Genomic DNA, 17,416 nt, shown 5'->3' with positions numbered 1-17,416 from the left:
ATCTCCCAAAGCTATCCCTCCCCCCTCCCCCCCAACCAGGTCTCTTAAACTCAAATCCTCATCTGCCAAAAGTAACAACGAAAGGACTGTCTCCATACAGGGATGGGACTGCCAAAATGACCCTCATTCTGATATTCAACTCTTCCTTGGGGATCTTTCATAAATCCCCCTTGGCACCGGGAAGAAGCGTTCTGCTTTCTACTTTTTTTTTTTTTTTTTTTTTGCGACAGAGTCTTACTCTGTCGTTGGACTGCAGTGACGCGATCTCAACTCACTGCAACCTCTGCCTCTGGGGTTCAAGCGATTCTCCTGCCTCAGCCTCCCAAGTAGCTGCGATTACAGATGCCTGCCACCATGCCCGACTAATTTTTGTATTTTTTTTTTTTTTTTTAGCAGAGATGGGGTTTCACCATGTTGGCCAGGCTAGTCTCAAACTCTTGATCTCAAGTGATCCACCGAACTCAGCCTTCTGGGATTACAGGCGTGAGCCACCACGGCCAGCTCTACCTATCTCTTTGTTTTTGAGATGGGGAATTTCACTCTTGTTGCCCAGGATGGAGTGCAATGGCACGATCTGGGCTCACCACAACCTCCGCCTTCTGGGTTCAAGTGATTCTCCTGCCTCAGCCTCCCAAGTAGCTGGGATTACAGGCCTGTGCCACCACGCCTGGCTAATTTTGTATTTTTAGTAGAGACGCGGTTTCTCCATGTTGGTCAGGCTGGTCTCGAACTCCAGACCTCAGGTGATCCGCCCGCCTCGGCCTCCCAAAGTACTGGGATTACAGGCGTGAACCACCGCGCCTGGCTGGCTCTACCTATTTCTTAAATACTGCAGCAGAGACTATGCTGAAATAGACTGGTCTGCTGGCTGCCATGTTTTGTTTGCCCCACCCCACATCTGCCTGCCTAGTCCTTTTTTTCCTTTTTTTTTTTTTGAGACAGAGTGTCGCTCTGTCGCCCAGGCTGGAGTGTAGTGGCGCGATCTTGGCTCACTGCAAGCTCCGCCTCCCAGGTTCACGCCATTCTCCTGCCTCAAGCCTCCAGAGTAGCTGCGACTACAGGCGCCCGCCACCACGCCCAGCTAATTTTTTCTATTTTTTAGTAAAGACGGGGTTTCACCGTGTTAGCCAGGATGGCCTCAATCTCCTGACCTCGTGTTCTGCCCACCGCGGCCTCCCAAAGTGCTGGGATTACAGGCGTGAGCCACCGCGCCCAGGCGCCTAGTCCTTATTTTCTAACTCCCACACAATTTTTTGTTGTTGTTGGTTCCTCCTTTATATTAATTAAAAATAAAGTTAGGAGTTTTAAGAATTCTATTTTTCTTCTGAATTAATGAATAATGTGTTATGTAGAAATGTCAAGCAAGTTTGGGCTGTTATTAGTGCTGTATAGGGTACTGCTTCATGAAGTACATTGTAAATGCTTGAATTTGGATGCCTAGAAGGGTGTGGCACTTCTTTTCCTCCATACTGCTTACCATTTCTTGTTGACTTATACTGGGCTAATTAACTTTTTCTTGGTCCTTAAATGCTTCTCAGTTTGAATCCTTGATTTAGATTAAACTTGATTGATGGAAGTTGAGGAACAGACTTACAAAATATGAGTGTTTACTTTCATTTTTGGTTCTCCTGGAGTAGGCAGCTCTGTGACAGAAGCTATTTCCCCTGATCAGTGAGAAGGGCCTTCAACAATTCTTAACTCTTCCAAGTTCAGATGTAAAAAGGCATATCCAGAAGTGCCACCTTCCATCTGTTCTATGTTCCAAGATTTTCTGGTGAGGATTCTCTTTTTCTTTGAATGACTGATAATAAGAACACCTACTATATAGAGGGAAACCTTTATACCCTACCCACAGGGTATGGCCTTATTCCATGACTGCAAAAAAAAAAAAAAAAAAAACTTATCAGAGTGCAATAATAGGTATAACATCTGAACCCATGATTTGTGCAAAAGGTAAGACAGAGGGAGGGTAGGGAGGAAGGCTTCACTCTAATATGCAGCTCAGAAGTAGGTTTGGTAGCTACTGGACCTCACCTTGGCACAGGTGTCACAGGTATTGTGTGGTGCAGGGATTCATGGCAGATTTGGGGTTCTCAGAGGTCACCACAAATTGAATAGTATGCTTTATTTAAGCCTCATCTTGCTCACCAGTGCAGCAGTATGAAGGTCCAGGTAGAACACCCAGGTCTGGATCCCCAGGCAGATGGATACACAAAGCCAGTCACTGTGATGTTAGAGGCCTCCTTCGCTGCATGCACCCCTCAGCTGAATCACAGTAGGCTTGATGTGCAGCTGTCCAATAATTCCAACTATCTGCTGCTGCTTTGGGTGAGGGCTATAAAGTCCAGGTTCTCACACTGAATGATCTTATAGCATGGAATATGGGGACCAGGACACCCAGAACTTCCTAGAAATAGGTGACCTTAAAATTAAGCTGTTAGTTGGCTGGGCGTGGTGACTCACACCTGTAATTGCAGCACTTTGGGAGGCTGAGGTGGGTGGATCACCTGAGGTCAGAAGTTCAAGACTAGCCTGGCCAACATGGTGAAATCCCATCTCTACTAAACATACAAAAATCAGCCTGGTGTGGTGGCATGCGCCTGTAATCCCAGCTGCTTTGGAGGCTGACACAGGAGAATTGCTTGAACCCACCGAGGGGGCGGACGTTGCAGTGAGCCGAGATTGCACCACTTCACTCCAGCCTGGGTGAAAGAGTGAAACTCCATCTCAAAAAATAAATAAATAAATAAATAGATAAGCTGCTAACAAAACCATGTCCCATCATCTTTGTCCCCAACTTAGCTGACTAGAGACTGATAACTACCCCAAATTCAGATAAGCAAGGGGTAGTTCTCTGTGGTGAATCTCTGGTTTCAAAGGCACCTTTCATGGCACATGCTTTCATAATGGTTGTTTTGCTCTACTAACATAAAAGGAACCCAAAACAGGGTTTTTCTAAGTCAAGATGGCCTTAAATTCTATGGATTAGTCTCCTATGGTATTAATAGCTAAAAATGACAATTTCTACTTGTGTATTTTTGGTGAAAACTAAATGATGACTACTTTCTTTTTTTTTTTTTTTTCAGGCAGAGTCTTGCTCTGTTGCCAAGGCTGGAGTGTGATGGTGCGGTCTCAGCTCACTGTAAACCTTCCCTCCCAGGTTCAAGCCATTCTCCTGCCTCAGCCTCCCAAGTATCTGGGACTACAGGTGCCTGCCACCACATCTGGCTAATTTTTGTATTTTTAGTAGAGACAGGGTTTCACTATGTTGGCCAGGCTGGTCTCAAACTCCTGACCTCGTGATCCATCTGCCTTGGCCTCCCAAAGTGCTGGGATTACAGGCGTGAGACAACTTGCCCGGCCATGATGACTACTTTCTGATGACTCGAGACAATACTGATTATGTGACCTTGGGGAAGCTACTTAACCTCTCTGTATCTGTATATGTCTGTAAAATGGGGATTGTAACAGTTCCTAGTTTATAGCATTTTTGTGAGGAATTAATGAGTGTTACTACATCTAAAGTGCTTAGAGCAATGCTTGGCATATGGTAAGTATCCCAGAAATCTTGGCTATCATCAATTTATTATTGTTATTATTGAACTCCCCATCCCATTTGCCTAAAATACTTTACTAGAGATGGAAGGAAGAAAGGAGGGAAGGGAGGGAGGAAAAGAGGGAGGTGGGGAAGCTACTCAGGGTTAGGACTTTTAGTAGCTAGGGGTCAAGGAAGAAAACAGGTCTGGCAAATACATAGGACCATCTCTAGAAAGAATGCTTCCTAGAAAAGATCCTAAATAGCGATGATGTACATTACAAAGAGCACAGGTCAAAACTATCCCCCTGGGCTAGCAAAAACAAGGAACAGGAGTCAAGCCATATCAGACCAGAGTGGGAATTAGGATGACATAGATTGAGCCTCAGGTAATCTGGTTAAAAACAAATTTAATTTGGCCGGGTGCAGTGGCTCACGCCTGTAATCCCAGCACTTTGGGAGGCCAAGGTGGAAGGATCACGAGGTCAGGAGATCGAGACCATCCTAGCTAACATGGTGAAACTCCATCTCTACGTGGTGGTGGGTGCCTGTAGTCCCAGCTACTCAGGAGGCTGAGGCAGGAGAGTGGCGTGAACCTGGGAGGCCGAGCTTGCAGTGCGCCAAAATCGCGCCACTGCACTCCAGCCTGGGCGACAGAGCAAGACTCCATCTCAAAAAAAAAAAAAAAAAGGAAAACAAATTGAATTTGAAGATAAATGGGTCAAAAAGGAATATTCTCAGCTGCTTGTTTTCCATATGGATTGTTTTGCCACCTTTAAAGTTTTAAAGCAGTACTGTCAGATTATCATAATATTTTAGGTATGTTTCAAACTTTTGTGCTTTTTAATCTAAATTAATTCTTAGATAATTATTAAGAAGCAACGTAAATGTTTCATATTATCAAGCCATTGCAAATATATATATATATATATTTTTTGAGACAAAGGCTCGCTGTCGCCCAGGCTGGAATGCAGTGGCGCCATCTCAGCTCACTACAACCTCTGCCTCCCGGGTTCAAGCAATTCTCTGCCTCAGCCTCCCGAGTAGCTGGGATTACAGGCACCCGCCACCAATTTTTGTATTTTTAGTAGAGACGGGGTTTCACCACTTTGGCCAGGCTGGTCTGAAACTCCCGACCTCGTGATCCACCTGCCTCAGCCTTCCAAAGTGCTGGGATTACAGGCGTGAGCTGCCACGCCCAGCCTGCAAATATTTAAAAAGTAGTAAACAGCGGCCAGGCGTGGTGGCTCACGCCTGTAATCCCAGCAATTTGGGAGGCCGAGGCGGGTGGATCTGAGGTCAGGGGTTCAAGACTAGCCTGGCCAACATGGTGAAACCCTGTCTCTACTAAAAATACAAAAATCAGTCGGGCATGGTGGCACGCCCCTGTAAGCCTAGCTACTTGGGAGGCTGAGGCAGGAGAATCGCTTGAACCCGGGAGGCCGAGGTTGCAGTGAGCTGAGATCTCGCCACTGCACTCCAGCCTGGCAGACAGAGTGAGATTCCGTGTTAGTGGAAAGAAACAGTATGTACAATATGATTCCTTAAGAAACATATATATATGTGTGTGTGTGTGTGTGTCTGTGTGTGCACAAAAAAATTCTCAAAGGCCCAAAGAAGCAATAAAGCAAATCCCTGGCCACCAGAATAACTAAACATACAAAAAACCAGCAGTTGGAAACAATAATTTTTGACTTATTTGTCATGTTGAAGACATTTTTATTGCAAACATTTTGTTTTCTAGCAAACTATTTTGACTGCGCCATGCCATGTCAGTAGAGTGCCAGAGAAGTAACTGATTAGGATACTAAACTGGTGCAAGCTGGTAAGATAAGTGATAGGTCAAAACAGAGCAAAGAGAGCTGAAGAGAAACGGGGGAGGTCAGGGAGGAGCTTAGAGTGCATCTCACGAATACCGAGTTAGTCTTTCTTTAAAGAATGGCAAAATTCATCCTAGATCCAGACATAGGCCTTTGAAAGCAGTAGGACTACACCTGACATATAACCTGAAATTAGATGATGATATTCTGAATGAGAGGGCTCTCAACTTTAAAGAAAGAATGTCTTTAGGATTGGCATTATCTTCTTTACTCCAGGTATTTGTTTAGCAAACCTTTTTTCAAACATGGTTCAAAAGCAAATCACATTTTCCATATTCCCTATTAAATTATTATATATTATGAGGGGGGGGCAGTGTTCTTAATGACAAAATATTGTTTAAAAAGAATCCTTTCCTAAAAGAAATCAGGAAGATAATTCCATTTACAATAACTACACAAAAATAAGATACTTAAGAATAAACTTTTTTAAAAAAATTTTATTATTGTTACACTTTAAGTTTTAGGGTACATGTGCACAATGTGCAGGTTTGTTACATATGTATACATGTGCCATGTTGGTGTGCTGCAAAAAAAAAAAAAAAAAAAAAAGAATAAACTTAACCAAGGAGGTTAAAGATCTCTAAACTGAAAAACTATAAAACCTTGATGAAAGAAATTGAAGAAGACACAAATGAATGGAAAGACGTTTCATGTTCATGGGAGAATTAGTATTGTTAAAACACTCATACTACCCAAAGTGATCTACAAACTAAATATAATCTCTATCAAATACCTATAATATATTTCACAGAAATAAAAAAGACAGCCAGGCGCGGTGGCTCACTCTGTAATTCCAGCACTTTGGGAGGCAGAGGAGGGCGGATCACCTGAGATCGGGAGTTCGAGACCAGCCTGACCAACATGGAGAAACCCTGTCTCTACTAAAAATACAAAATTAGCCAGGCATGATGGCGCATGCCTGTAATCCCAGCTACTAGGGAGGGTGAGGCAGGAGAATCACTTGAACCTGGGAGGCAGAGGCTGCGGTGAGCCGAGATTGTGCCATTGCACTCCAGCCAGGGCAACAAGAGCAAAACTCCGTCTCAAAAAAAAAAAAAAAAAAAAAAAGACAATCATTAAATTCACATGGAGCCACAAAAGACTCAAATAGGCAAATCAATCCTGAGCAAAAATAACAAAGCTGAGGCATCACAGTACTTGATTGCAAAATGTACTACAAGGCTATAGTAACCAAAACAGCATGGTATTGGCATAAACACAAACACAGAGACCAATGAAAGAGAATAAAGAACCCAGAAATAAATTCATGCATCTATGGCCAACTGTTTTTCAACAAAGGTGCCAAGAACATGCACTGGGAAAAAGACAGTTTCTTCAATAAATGGTGCTGGGAAAATTGGAAAGTCACATGCAGAAGACTAAGACTAGACCCTGTCTCCACTATATACACAAATCAACTCAAAATGGATTAAAGACTTATATATAAAACTTGAAACTATGAAATTACTAAAAGAAAACATAAGGGAAATGCTTTGCAACACCGGGTTGGGCAAGGGTTTTTAAAAAGAGATCTCAAAGCACAGACAACAAAAGCAAAAAATAGACCAATGGGATTACATCAAACTGAAAAGCTTTTGTACTTAAAAAGGAAACAACAAAATGAAGAGAAAATCTACAGAATGGAAGAAAATATAAGCAAACTATACATCTCACAAGGAGTTAATATCTGAAGAATATATAATAACTTAATTCAACAATGAAAAACAAATTATCTTAATTTAAAAGTGGGCAAAAGACCTTAATAGGCATTTCTCAAAAGAAGACATACAAATGGCCAACAGGTACATGAAAAAATGCTCAACATCCCTAATCATCAGGCAAATGCAAATCAAAATCACAATGAGATATCATCTCACTCTAGTTAGAATGGCTATTAACAAACAGACAGGCTGCGTGGTGGCTCATGCCTGTAATCCCAGCACTTTGGGAGGCTGAGGCAGGTGGATCACTTGAGGTCAGGAATTCAAGGCCAGCCTGGCCAACAGTTACATGAAAAAATCCTCAACATCCCTAATCATCAGGCAAATGCAAATCAAAATCACAATGAGATATCATCTCACTCTAGTTAGAATGGCTATTAACAAACAGACAGGCTGCGTGGTGGCTCATGCCTGTAATCCCAGCACTTTGGGAGGCTGAGGCAGGTGGATAACTTGAGGTCAGGAATTCAAGGCCAGCCTGGCCAACATAGTGAAACCCCGACTCTACTAAAAATACAAAAATTAGCCAGGTATGGTGGCACATGCCTATAGTCCCAGCTACTCGGAGGCTGAGGCAGGAGAATTGCTTGAACCCACGAAGCAGAGGTTGCAATGAGCCGAGATTGCACCACTGCACTCCAGCCTGAGTGACACAGTGAGACTCTGTCTCTGTCTTAAAAAACAAAACAAAACAAAAAAAACAACTGTTGGCAAGGATGTGGAGAAAAGACAACACTTGCACATTTTTGGTGGAATTACAAATTAGTACAGCAGCTATAGAAGACAGTCTTTAATCCATTTTGAGTTGATTTGTGTATATGGTGGAGACAGGGTCTAGTCTTATTCTTCTGCATGTGACTTTCCAATTTTCCCAGCAACGTTTATTTAAGAGACTATCTTTTCCCCAGTGTGTGTTCTTGGCACCTTTGTTGAAAATTTTTTCCTCAAAAAATTAAAAATAGAACTACTGTGTGAGCCAGGAGTCCCACTAGTGGCTATATATTCAAAGGAAATGAAATCAGTTACATTGAAGTGGTATCTGCCCTCCTATGTTTACTGCAGCACTATTTACAATAACCAAGATATGGAATCAACCCAAACATCTAACAGTGAATGAATGAATAAAGAAAATGTGAGGCCGGGCACGGTGGCTCATGCCTGTAATCCCAGCACTTTGGGAGACCGAGGTGGGTGGGTCACTTGAGGTCAGGAGTTCCAGACCAGCCTGAGTAATATGGTGAAACCCCGTCTCTACTAAAAATACAAAAATTAGCCAGGCGTGGTGGCAGGCGCCTGTAATCCCAGCTACTTGGGAGGCTGAGGCAGAAGAATTGCTTGAATTTGGGAGGCGGAGGTTGCAGTAAGCTGAGATTGCACCACCGCACTCCAGCCTGGGGAACACAGCGAGACTCAGTCTCAAAAAAAAAAAAAAAAGAAAAAGAAAAAGGAAAAAAAGAGAAAATGTGGTACATATGGATTACAGAATATTATACAGCTGTAAAAAAGCATGAAATCTTGCCATTTGTGAAAATACGGTTAAACCTGGAGGACATTATGTTAAGTGAAATAAGCCAGACACAGAAAGATAAATACTGTATGATCTGTGGAATCTAATTTTTTTTAAAGAAAGAGTTTATATCTTAGAAGCAGAGAGAACAGTGGTTATCTGAGACTAGAAAGGGGAGAGAGGAAAGGAGGATAGGGAGAGGTTGGTCAACAGGTACAAAGTGACAATTAGATTGGAAGAATAAGTTCTGGTGTTTTATTGCACAGTAGGGTTGCTGTTAACAATAAGGTATTGTATATTACAAAATAGCATGAGGTGAGAGATATGCTAAGTACCCTGATTTGATCAGTATACAACATTTGTATGTATGGAAACACCAAAACTGTAACCTAGAATATGTACAATTACAATGTGTCAATTAAAAGAAGAATCCTTTCCTGTATTGTTTATTGTTACTAAAATGGGCAAAATAGCACCTTCCTATCTACTACATCACAGAAATGGTGAAGTAACTGAAAGAATGTAAGTTAAGTAGGTGAATTCCAGAGAACACACTGTAATTTCATCTTTCTTTTTTCAGATAACGCAATAGAGCAACTTACTCAGCTTAAAGAGTACCTATATCATAATTTTTGAAGTTTGCATTTGCATTTCTTATTGCATCACTAACTTCCGAAGTTACAACTCTTACCTTGAAATCTTCCCAAGATTTGCTCACTTAACCAGCTTGCAAACAACAGTCCGGCATTTTCCTGAGGCAGATTACCATAGCAGCATCCAGTCTATCAACCTTTAAAACAGAAAGGTGAATCCTAAGAATTTTGTGATAAAGCTAAAAGCCAGTAGAGAGTACCAGGCCTTCTCTGGTTCTGATGTAATGATTCTGAAAGACCCCCATGACAAAATATTTTATCTTAAAGGTTGTACTTGTTCTTTATACTTAAAGAAACTGGAGTTTCTGATCATGCCAATCATTAGATGGGAGGCCTCAGACAAGTCTTTTAGCATCCCTGGGCCTTAATTTCCATTTCTGTAAAAAGTCAGGAGTGCCTTAGATGATCTCCAATTTCCTCTCCACTCTGATTTCTCATCCTATGCTCCCTAGTTCATTTCTTCAATGTCGTGTGCCTCAAATCAGGAAAAAAACCTGGCAGAAGAGCAAGGATTTTACCTGTATTATTTTATTATTTTCACCAGCTCACCCACCCACCGTGTTTCTATTTTTCCAGGTAAGAGCCTGGTAGTTGCTTTTAATTTTTCCCTTTTATCTACTTTAGACAAATTATGACATTAATTCATGAATACAGAACACTTTCCAAGTTTTACCAATTACTTCTGCAGATACTATCTCATTTGATTAACACAACAGTTCAGGCTAGTAGGTATTATTTTTAATTTATCTGGCGAGGAAACTAAAGCCCAGGGAAGTTCAGTGAATTAATTGCCCAGAATAACACAGATAGCAGTTATGGGACCAGATCTTTTTTTTTTTTTTTTTCTTTTTGCGCTCTGTCACCCAGGCTGGAGTGCAGTGCCACCATCTCGGCTTACTGCAACCTCTGCCTCCTGGGTTCAAGCGATTCTCCAACCTCAGCCTCCTGAGTAGCTGGGATTACAGGTGCATGCCACCACGCCAGGCTAATTTTTGTATTTTTAGTAGAGACGGGGTTTCACCATGTTGGTCAGGCTGGTCTCGAACTCCTGACCCCGTGATCCGCCCGCCACAGCCTCCCAAAGTGCTGGGATTACAGGCATGAGCCACTGCCCCTGGCCTATTTATTTATTTATTTATTTACTTATTTAGATGGAGTTTTGCTCTTGTTGACCAGGCTGGAGTGCAATGGCGTGATTTCAGCTCACCACAACCTCCACCTCCCAGGATTACAGGCATGCGCCACCACGCCCGGCTAATTTTGTATTTTCAGTAGAGACAGGGTTTCTCCATGTTGCTCAGGCTGGTCTCAAACTCCTGACCTCAGGTGTTCCACCTGCCTTAGCCTACCAAAGTTCTGGGATTACAGGCGTGAGCCACCGTGCCCGGCCTAGGCCTATTTTTTTTTTTTTTTTTTTTTTTGCATTTTTTAGTAGAGACAGGGTTTGGCCATGTTGGCCAGGCTGATCTTGAACTCCTGACCTCAGGTGATCCACCCACCTCAGCCTCCCAGAGTGCTGAGATTACAGGCGTGAACCACCGTGCCCGGCCGGGGCCAGGTCTTCTGATTCCAAAGTCTTCACAACACTAAAATCTATTAAAGCAGATCCAGGTTTTGTAGGGCCTGAGGTGTCTATAATTTTGATGACTGTCTATCTTCAAGGATAGGAGTACAAAACTGCAATACAACAGAAAGTATGATCCTGTTGAACATACTGTTAGGGCCCCTCTCAGAGCCTCCTTAGGGTCTATTCAAGGGAAGGGCATCTAGGGTTAATCTTTAGGGTTAGGTCTCATGTAATGTTTTCTATATGCTAGACACTGCAAAATAAATACTAATTTTTTTTTTTTTTTGAGACGGAGTCTCACTCTGTTGCCTAGGCTGGACAGGCTGGAGTGCAGTGGCACCATCTCGGCTCACTGCAACCTCCACCTCCCAGGTTCAAGTGATTCTTCTACCTCAGCCTCCCAAGTAGCTGGGACTACAGGCACATGCTACCACACCTGGCTACTTTTTGTATTTTTAGTAGAGACAGGGTTTCACCACATTAGCCAGGCTGGTCTTGAACTCCTGACCTCGTGCTCCATCCGCCTCGGCATCCCAAAGTGCTGGGATTACAGGCATGAGCCACTGCACCCGGACCTTTTTTTTTTTTTTTTTTTGAGATGGAATCTCACTCTATTGCCCAGGCTGGAGTGCAATGATGAGATCTTGGCTCACTGCAATCTCTGCCTCACGGGTTCAAACAATTCTCCTGTCTCAACTTCCTGAGTAGCTGGTACTATGCATTACGCATGGCTAATTTTTGTATTTTTAGTATCGGCAGGGTTTCACCATGTTGGCCAGGCTAGTCTCAAAATCCTGGCCTCAAGTGATCCACCCACCTCGGCCTCCCAAAGTGCTGGGATTACAGGGTTGAGCCACCACGCCGGCCTGAAATAAATACTAGTTTTATTATCATAATAACCCTGAGGTAGGTATTATCCTTGTTTTACAGAGTTGGGAGTGAGGCTTGGAAAGGTAAAATGACTTGCCTGAGGACACAGAGCTGGTAAGTGCAAGAATCAAATTTGGAACTGAACAGATCTGGCTCTCAGGTCTATAGTGTGAATCTACCACCCTATGGGGCTCTATAAGCCTTCTTTTGAGGTTTCCTGGGATTCATCTTATTTAACCACTTCTCACTACATTCCATAGAACAGGCCCTTATATATTTACTTCTGAACCAGACTGAGGATCCTGTCTCTCTAACTTAATTCTCCTTACCATCTACCTGAATGCTGCTGCCACCCTAGCACTGCTCTTATAAGTCCTAGCTGCCCCAATGACCCGAAATGCCTTCCCTTTCTCCGTGTTTATCAAATGTAAAAAGCAATTACTGTATTACTCACTAGTAGTACTTGGCCGTGGATGCCACACTGTCTTCTAATATACTGAACTGTTATTGGAAAGCACATGGGACCTCTCAGGATCTGATCCTCCAATCTCTACTCTTCTTCAATCTCAGGTTCTTCATTTGCAAAACAGAAACCATAAGGCCTACCTCCCAGGGTTGCTGTGAGAATTGAGGGGGAGGGTAAGTGAGGGGGAGGGTAAGTGAGGGGGTGAGTCCTGGAAGGGAGGAAGACACGAGGGGAAGGGCAGGGTCCTGGCAAGCAGCAAGTGCTCAACAGATGTTGGTTAATTTGTGCCTAAGTCTCCCCCAAAAACTTGCAAGCTCTTTGAAGGCAGGGGCCTTGCCTCATATTTTTCGGTATTTCTCAAAAGTCCTGGACATCAAAGACACTCCATGGTTATTTGATCACTTCAACACACACGTTGGTTATGCGGTCACAGCGGCTATTATGTTAAAAACAGGCTCTGGAGTGTGACTTCAAATGCTGGCCGCTGACGAGCTGGGCTGTCTGGAAAGTTACTTCACCTCTCTGAGCCTCGGGTCCCTTATTTACAAAATGTTCAGGGCAGTGCCCACTTCACAGGGCTGAGGATTAGAGAGGATAATCCGGGTGAGGAGCATCAGCCCCAGCGCCGCCTGCCACAATTCTATCCGGCCCCACATATGCATCGTCCATAAGCGTCCGGCCTCTGCATTCTCGCTTTTCCACGTGGCCGAGGTGCACACCCCAACCCACTGGGCCAGTCTCCCCACCCTCTTACCTGCTCTTCTTTCCCGACTCGTCTTTAATACCCACCAGGCGCCAACCGCCGCGGGCCTGGCTCTATGGTGGCAAGTTGCATGGGTTCTCCCATCAGGACCTCCCGATGAGCCTACGAGGTCGGTTCTACTACTGTCGCCACTTCAGAGGGAGGAAACAGGCCCGGAGGGTTGGGGAACTTCCCGAGGTCACTGAACTGGTGTCAGGCCCGGATTGGAATCCAAACACATCCCAGCCCATGCCCGGCTCTACAGCGCCGGCCCCCAGCGTCTTCCCGGGTGCCAGCGGCACCCGCATCCATTCAAATGCTGCCCATTCCCCGCTCCTCAGTCGCTTCCCGCTACTCCGCACGCGCATCTCCCCCACCCGTCAGGGTCAGGCCTCTCGGTGACTTTTCCTTTTTCTCTGGCAGAAACTGAGGGGTGAGACCGATGGTTGTGTCCCGAACGAGGGCAGATTGCCTAGAGCTCGTCAGACAGGGACCCAAGGGCGAGTCTGGCAGGGCGTGGTAGCTCCGCGCCGCTCAGCAGGGGCGCAGCGCGCGGGTCGGACTGGGACGCCGGTCACGTGGCGGGGAGGGGGCGCCGGCGCGCGCGGGCGAGCTAGAGGGCGCGCGCGGCTGAAAGCGTGTGGAGGCGCGGGCTGCAGTTCGGATGTCTGTGTGGCGGGGAGGGGGCGGCGGCCGGGAGAGACGACTCCGCCCCCTGCGCGCATGCTCCGGCCCCGGCGGGTTATAAGGCAGCCTCGCTGGCCCGGCCAGACAAAGTGGTGAGCTGCGACGTGACTGGCTAGCTGCGTGGGTACTGGAACAAGCAAACGAGGCAGCGAGCGAAGGACGGGAGCCGGACCCTGGGCCCCGTGGAACTCCAGCCTGCGCCACCACGTCACGCACACGCTCGGCGCTGCGATCCGCGCATATAACGGTTAGTTGGGTAACAGCCGGCGGCACGCGGCGCGGACCCCACGGTGCCCTCGCTGCCCTGGTGGGGTCGGAGGGGACCTCCGGGGTTGGGAGACTTTGTCTCCGGCGGAGGGAGGCGGCCCAGCAGAGGGCATCGTGGTCACAGGCAGCCGCGTGGCCTCGGACTGCAGTGCTGGTGAAGGAGACCTTGAGGCGCTGGGGTCAGCGCCTCTCTTAGCCGAGCCGCGGGCCCCGTGCTAAGATGCCGGTCCCAGGCCTGGCCGAGGAGTTGGGTCGTGGTGCCCGGTGACGGTGGGGAAGTCCCTTCCCCCCTAAGTCTTCAATAGGCTCCTCGAGAGATGCTTTGATCTGGAAAAGGGATAACATGAGGCTGCTGCATGTGGTACCTCCAGACTCTCCTGGCCGCTTCTGCCCCAAGGGAAGGGACTCGGGGCAGAAGTTATTTATGATTCGTGACATTGTCCGCCCCAACCTTCTTGGCCCGCCGATCCTTGCCCCACCTGGTGACTTGCGAGAGTGGTGCGGAGAGCCGCATTCCCCACAGCCAAGGCGTGACTGCAGGGTTCGAGTAGACTTTGCGGAGGGGACGGGGCAGCCCGCAGACTCCTGGGAGTGGTGCTGACGGGGGCTCTTTGTCATTCAACCTGTGGCTGCCAGCGTCCGCCGCAGCGCCCTTCTACTCATGGACTTAAGGCGGCCCTGTTGAGAGAAATCTGGAGGATAGCGTTACACTTGGTCCGATGCAAGTTTTTTGTTCCAAGTACGTCTTTTTTTTTTTCCAGCATGCGTTTTAACATTTTATTACTTTGTCATGACATATTTGATGGAACAAGCAGTTGCCAAAACTAGTTTGTAATTAATCTAAACCAGGAGACAAACTTGTTACTACTTTAGTCTTTCTTTGGGTTTCCAGTGGCTGATTAGAAACTGGGCTGCTACTGATAACAGTAAAATGTTTACACGCTACTTTATTTACTGTAACTTACTAAGCTACTTTATTTACTGTAACTTACTATAACTTGTTTTGAATTTTTTTTTCAAAAATTACTCTGGTTTCAACAATTTTTTTATCCCAACCACCAGCCCAGTGAGGTGATGCAAAGACTATGTATCTTCAGTTTTTTAGTTAGGTGTTAAATAGTACCCATAAATTCAAGTCTTACACCCTGGGGCACGACTTTGCCTTCAGATTGCCATAGAAATGACCAACAATTCAAGATATTTAGCACTTAAAACACGTGGTAAGATTTATTATTTACACAGAAGTTGAATATATTTCAGTAATTCATTTTGGTCTTAGGTAGATGCTGTTGTTTCATCAGATTGCAGTTACCATTGTTAAATATGCAAGTTAATGATCTGAGGAGCATTTTGTAAGATTTTTATAGCTGAATAGATTTGAAGGTTTAGTTGTAAGCTTAACGGGATAGACTGTAATGTCCTTAAACAGATTAAAAAGGAAAAAAGTCATATCACTATAGGATGAAAGCAAATGATTAGTATTTCACTAGTTTACATGTTTTAGCCTTTAAATATTAGGGCATATATTAGCCCTGGAAAGGATCCTAATGACCAGCTGATCAGGATCCCTTGTTTTACACATAAGGAAACTGGGGCTGGAGGGATTAAGTGATCTAACATCTTAGGTCTGAAAACTTGTTATGGTTTGGTGGGAACTATGTGTGTCTTTGGACTCATTTTTGTTAGATTGGCACTCCTGATTTTTCTTTAGATTGTAAATTTGGATACAAATTATCTCAGCCTGAAAATAGATTTCTCAGCTCCTTATGTTCTGCATTCCCATCGTGTTTTCAATTCACTTTATAATGCTCACTCCTATGCAAGATTAAGATCTCTGCGTAAATGCCTACATAGCTGTCTTGTTTTTGTTGCAGTTGAGGACTAGGAAGATGGAACTTGGGTATGAGGAAAACAGTCCAGATTGTTGTGAATTTTATATGTTCGGCAATTTGTTATTGGCTACCAGGCACCATGAGAGACTTAGGATTCAGCAGTGAACAAATTTTACCACTTGCCCTCCTAGAGTTATAGTCTAGCTGGAAAACAGATAAATATATAATTGCCACAGCAAATACTCTTTACAAACAAGTAGGTACTGTTATAATAGGGTGGGTACAGGTTCCTGTAGGAACAAATACTGTATTGTGTAGGTGTGAGAAGACACCCAACTTAGTATAGAAGCAATTTGGCTAGACCTCTCTGAGGAAATACTGTTTAACCTGAGACTTGAAGGATGAAAGAGCTAGCCAGGCAAGACAGTGATGATGGGTGGAAAGAACATTCCAGACATGAACACTGAAGCTACACTCAAGAGTACAGGGTGTAATGCAAGAGCTGAATTTTACCAAAGCTAAAGCATAAAAAAGTCAAAGAGAATGGGAAGAGATAGAAGTTGAAGAGATAGACAGTATGAGAAAATGGAGGGCCTTGTAAGCCATTTTAAGGAATCAAGGAGGGTAAAAAAATTAAAGGGATTTTTAAGGGATAAAGGAGGGTAAAAAAATTTTAAAGGAGCGCTCTTGTCTTGAAGCTGATTGAAAGCAGTTGAAGGATTTTCAAGCTGGTGGCTCACGCCTGTAATCCCAACACTTTGGGAGGCCAAGGCGGGTGGATCACTTGAGGTCAGGAGTTCAAGACCAGCCTGGCCAACATGGTGAAACCCTGTCTCTATTAAAAATACAAAAAATTAGCCAGGCATGGTGGCATGCTTCTGTAATCCCAGCTACTTGGGAGGCTGATACAGGAGAACAGCTTGAACCCAGGAGGTGGAGGCTGCAATGAAAACTGAGATCACACCACTGCACTTCAGCTCAGCTCAGGCGACAGAGCAAGACTCTGTTTCAAAAAAAAAAAAAAAAAAAGGATTTTCAGTGGGGCTGGGGATAACCTGATTGGATTTTGTGTTTTAGGAACATCACTTTGGATGCAATATGGAGAACAGGCTGAAAGGAGGCTGTTGGAGTGGTGTGAGACCACAGTGATGGACAAGACAGGATTTGGTAGAGAAACAGACAGGATTTGGTGGAGGATTTGGTGGAGACCAGATGTGGGAGACTGGGAAAGTCAGAGACGTTAAGGATATAACCCAGGTTTCTGGCTTGAACAAATACGAGTTTATTAGGTGGTATTTGTTTGTCTCCATTTAACCAATAGGGACACTAAAAAGTTGTGTGACTAGACCAGGGCTGCTCAGCTTGTAAGGCTTGGAGACAAAATTCAAACTGTTGTTTTCAGTTTTTGTTGGCAACCCCTGAGAATGGTGTTTTTCTTTTTTCCCTTTTGAACAGTTAAGTATGGAAAATTTCAAAACACAAAGAGTTGAGCGACACGATTTCTCTCTTCCCCTATCTACTTTCCCCAGACCCTACTGGATTACTGTGAAGCAAATTCTACAAATGATTTCATTTGTTTTATTTCAATATAGATATCTGAAAGATAACTCTCGAGAAAGTCATAACCACAATGCCATTACCCTACCTTTAAAAATTAACATCGCCAAATATCCAGTCAGTATTCAAATA

The 17,416-nt window shown here is 44.5% G+C and overlaps 1 protein-coding gene and 1 long non-coding RNA gene across 4 annotated transcripts in view, besides 9 other annotated features; one reads left to right on the top strand and one right to left on the bottom strand.

Annotated features, from left to right (window-relative positions):
• Positions 380-880: an enhancer, noted in NCBI's record as "H3K4me1 hESC enhancer chr1:113511652-113512152 (GRCh37/hg19 assembly coordinates)". NCBI's record gives its function as "activates a minimal SCP1, AML or CMV promoter by ChIP-STARR-seq in naive H9 embryonic stem cells {active_cell/tissue: H9 hESC(naive)}" and the evidence as "EXISTENCE:reporter gene assay evidence [ECO:0000049][PMID:30033119]".
• On the bottom strand, positions 5,838-13,495 carry SLC16A1-AS1 (SLC16A1 antisense RNA 1). 2 transcript variants are annotated; one of them, NR_103743.1, is made up of 3 exons: positions 12,188-13,495; positions 9,335-9,433; positions 5,838-5,938 (listed from the first exon to the last, which is right to left on the bottom strand). It is a non-coding gene; the product is annotated as an SLC16A1 antisense RNA 1 (long non-coding RNA). The 2 variants fall into 2 exon arrangements; NR_103744.1 differs by having other exon boundaries at positions 12,954-13,495.
• Positions 12,289-12,388: an enhancer, noted in NCBI's record as "active region_1523". NCBI's record gives its function as "activates an Ori minimal core promoter by ATAC-STARR-seq in GM12878 lymphoblastoid cells {active_cell/tissue: GM12878}" and the evidence as "EXISTENCE:reporter gene assay evidence [ECO:0000049][PMID:35858748]".
• Positions 12,289-12,937: a biological region, named in NCBI's record as "H3K27ac hESC enhancer GRCh37_chr1:113499595-113500183".
• Positions 12,349-12,937: an enhancer, noted in NCBI's record as "H3K27ac hESC enhancer chr1:113499595-113500183 (GRCh37/hg19 assembly coordinates)". NCBI's record gives its function as "activates a minimal SCP1, AML or CMV promoter by ChIP-STARR-seq in naive H9 embryonic stem cells {active_cell/tissue: H9 hESC(naive)}" and the evidence as "EXISTENCE:reporter gene assay evidence [ECO:0000049][PMID:30033119]".
• Positions 12,429-12,848: an enhancer, noted in NCBI's record as "active region_1522". NCBI's record gives its function as "activates an Ori minimal core promoter by ATAC-STARR-seq in GM12878 lymphoblastoid cells {active_cell/tissue: GM12878}" and the evidence as "EXISTENCE:reporter gene assay evidence [ECO:0000049][PMID:35858748]".
• Positions 13,399-13,758: a silencer, noted in NCBI's record as "silent region_1207". NCBI's record gives its function as "represses an Ori minimal core promoter by ATAC-STARR-seq in GM12878 lymphoblastoid cells {active_cell/tissue: GM12878}" and the evidence as "EXISTENCE:reporter gene assay evidence [ECO:0000049][PMID:35858748]".
• SLC16A1 (solute carrier family 16 member 1) overlaps positions 13,714-17,416 on the top strand; it is a 44,350-nt gene continuing 40,647 nt past the window's right edge. Inside the window, exon 1 of one of the 2 annotated variants that reach the window (NM_003051.4) lies at positions 13,714-13,875. The gene's annotated coding sequence lies outside the window, so the exon portion shown is untranslated. Of the gene's footprint in view, positions 14,635-17,416 lie in introns of both variants that reach the window. The other variant, NM_001166496.2, reaches the window with a different exon arrangement.
• Positions 14,089-14,348: an enhancer, noted in NCBI's record as "active region_1521". NCBI's record gives its function as "activates an Ori minimal core promoter by ATAC-STARR-seq in GM12878 lymphoblastoid cells {active_cell/tissue: GM12878}" and the evidence as "EXISTENCE:reporter gene assay evidence [ECO:0000049][PMID:35858748]".
• Positions 14,089-14,707: a biological region, named in NCBI's record as "NANOG-H3K27ac-H3K4me1 hESC enhancer GRCh37_chr1:113497825-113498414".
• Positions 14,118-14,707: an enhancer, noted in NCBI's record as "NANOG-H3K27ac-H3K4me1 hESC enhancer chr1:113497825-113498414 (GRCh37/hg19 assembly coordinates)". NCBI's record gives its function as "activates a minimal SCP1, AML or CMV promoter by ChIP-STARR-seq in naive and primed H9 embryonic stem cells {active_cell/tissue: H9 hESC(naive and primed)}" and the evidence as "EXISTENCE:reporter gene assay evidence [ECO:0000049][PMID:30033119]".

The sequence above is a fragment of the Homo sapiens genome, chromosome 1 (assembly GCF_000001405.40).
Source record: "Homo sapiens chromosome 1, GRCh38.p14 Primary Assembly".
Classification (NCBI taxonomy): Eukaryota; Metazoa; Chordata; class Mammalia; order Primates; family Hominidae; genus Homo; species Homo sapiens.
The sequence above is the reverse complement of the archived record's forward strand: the minus strand, read 5'-3'. Positions and strand labels throughout refer to the sequence as shown.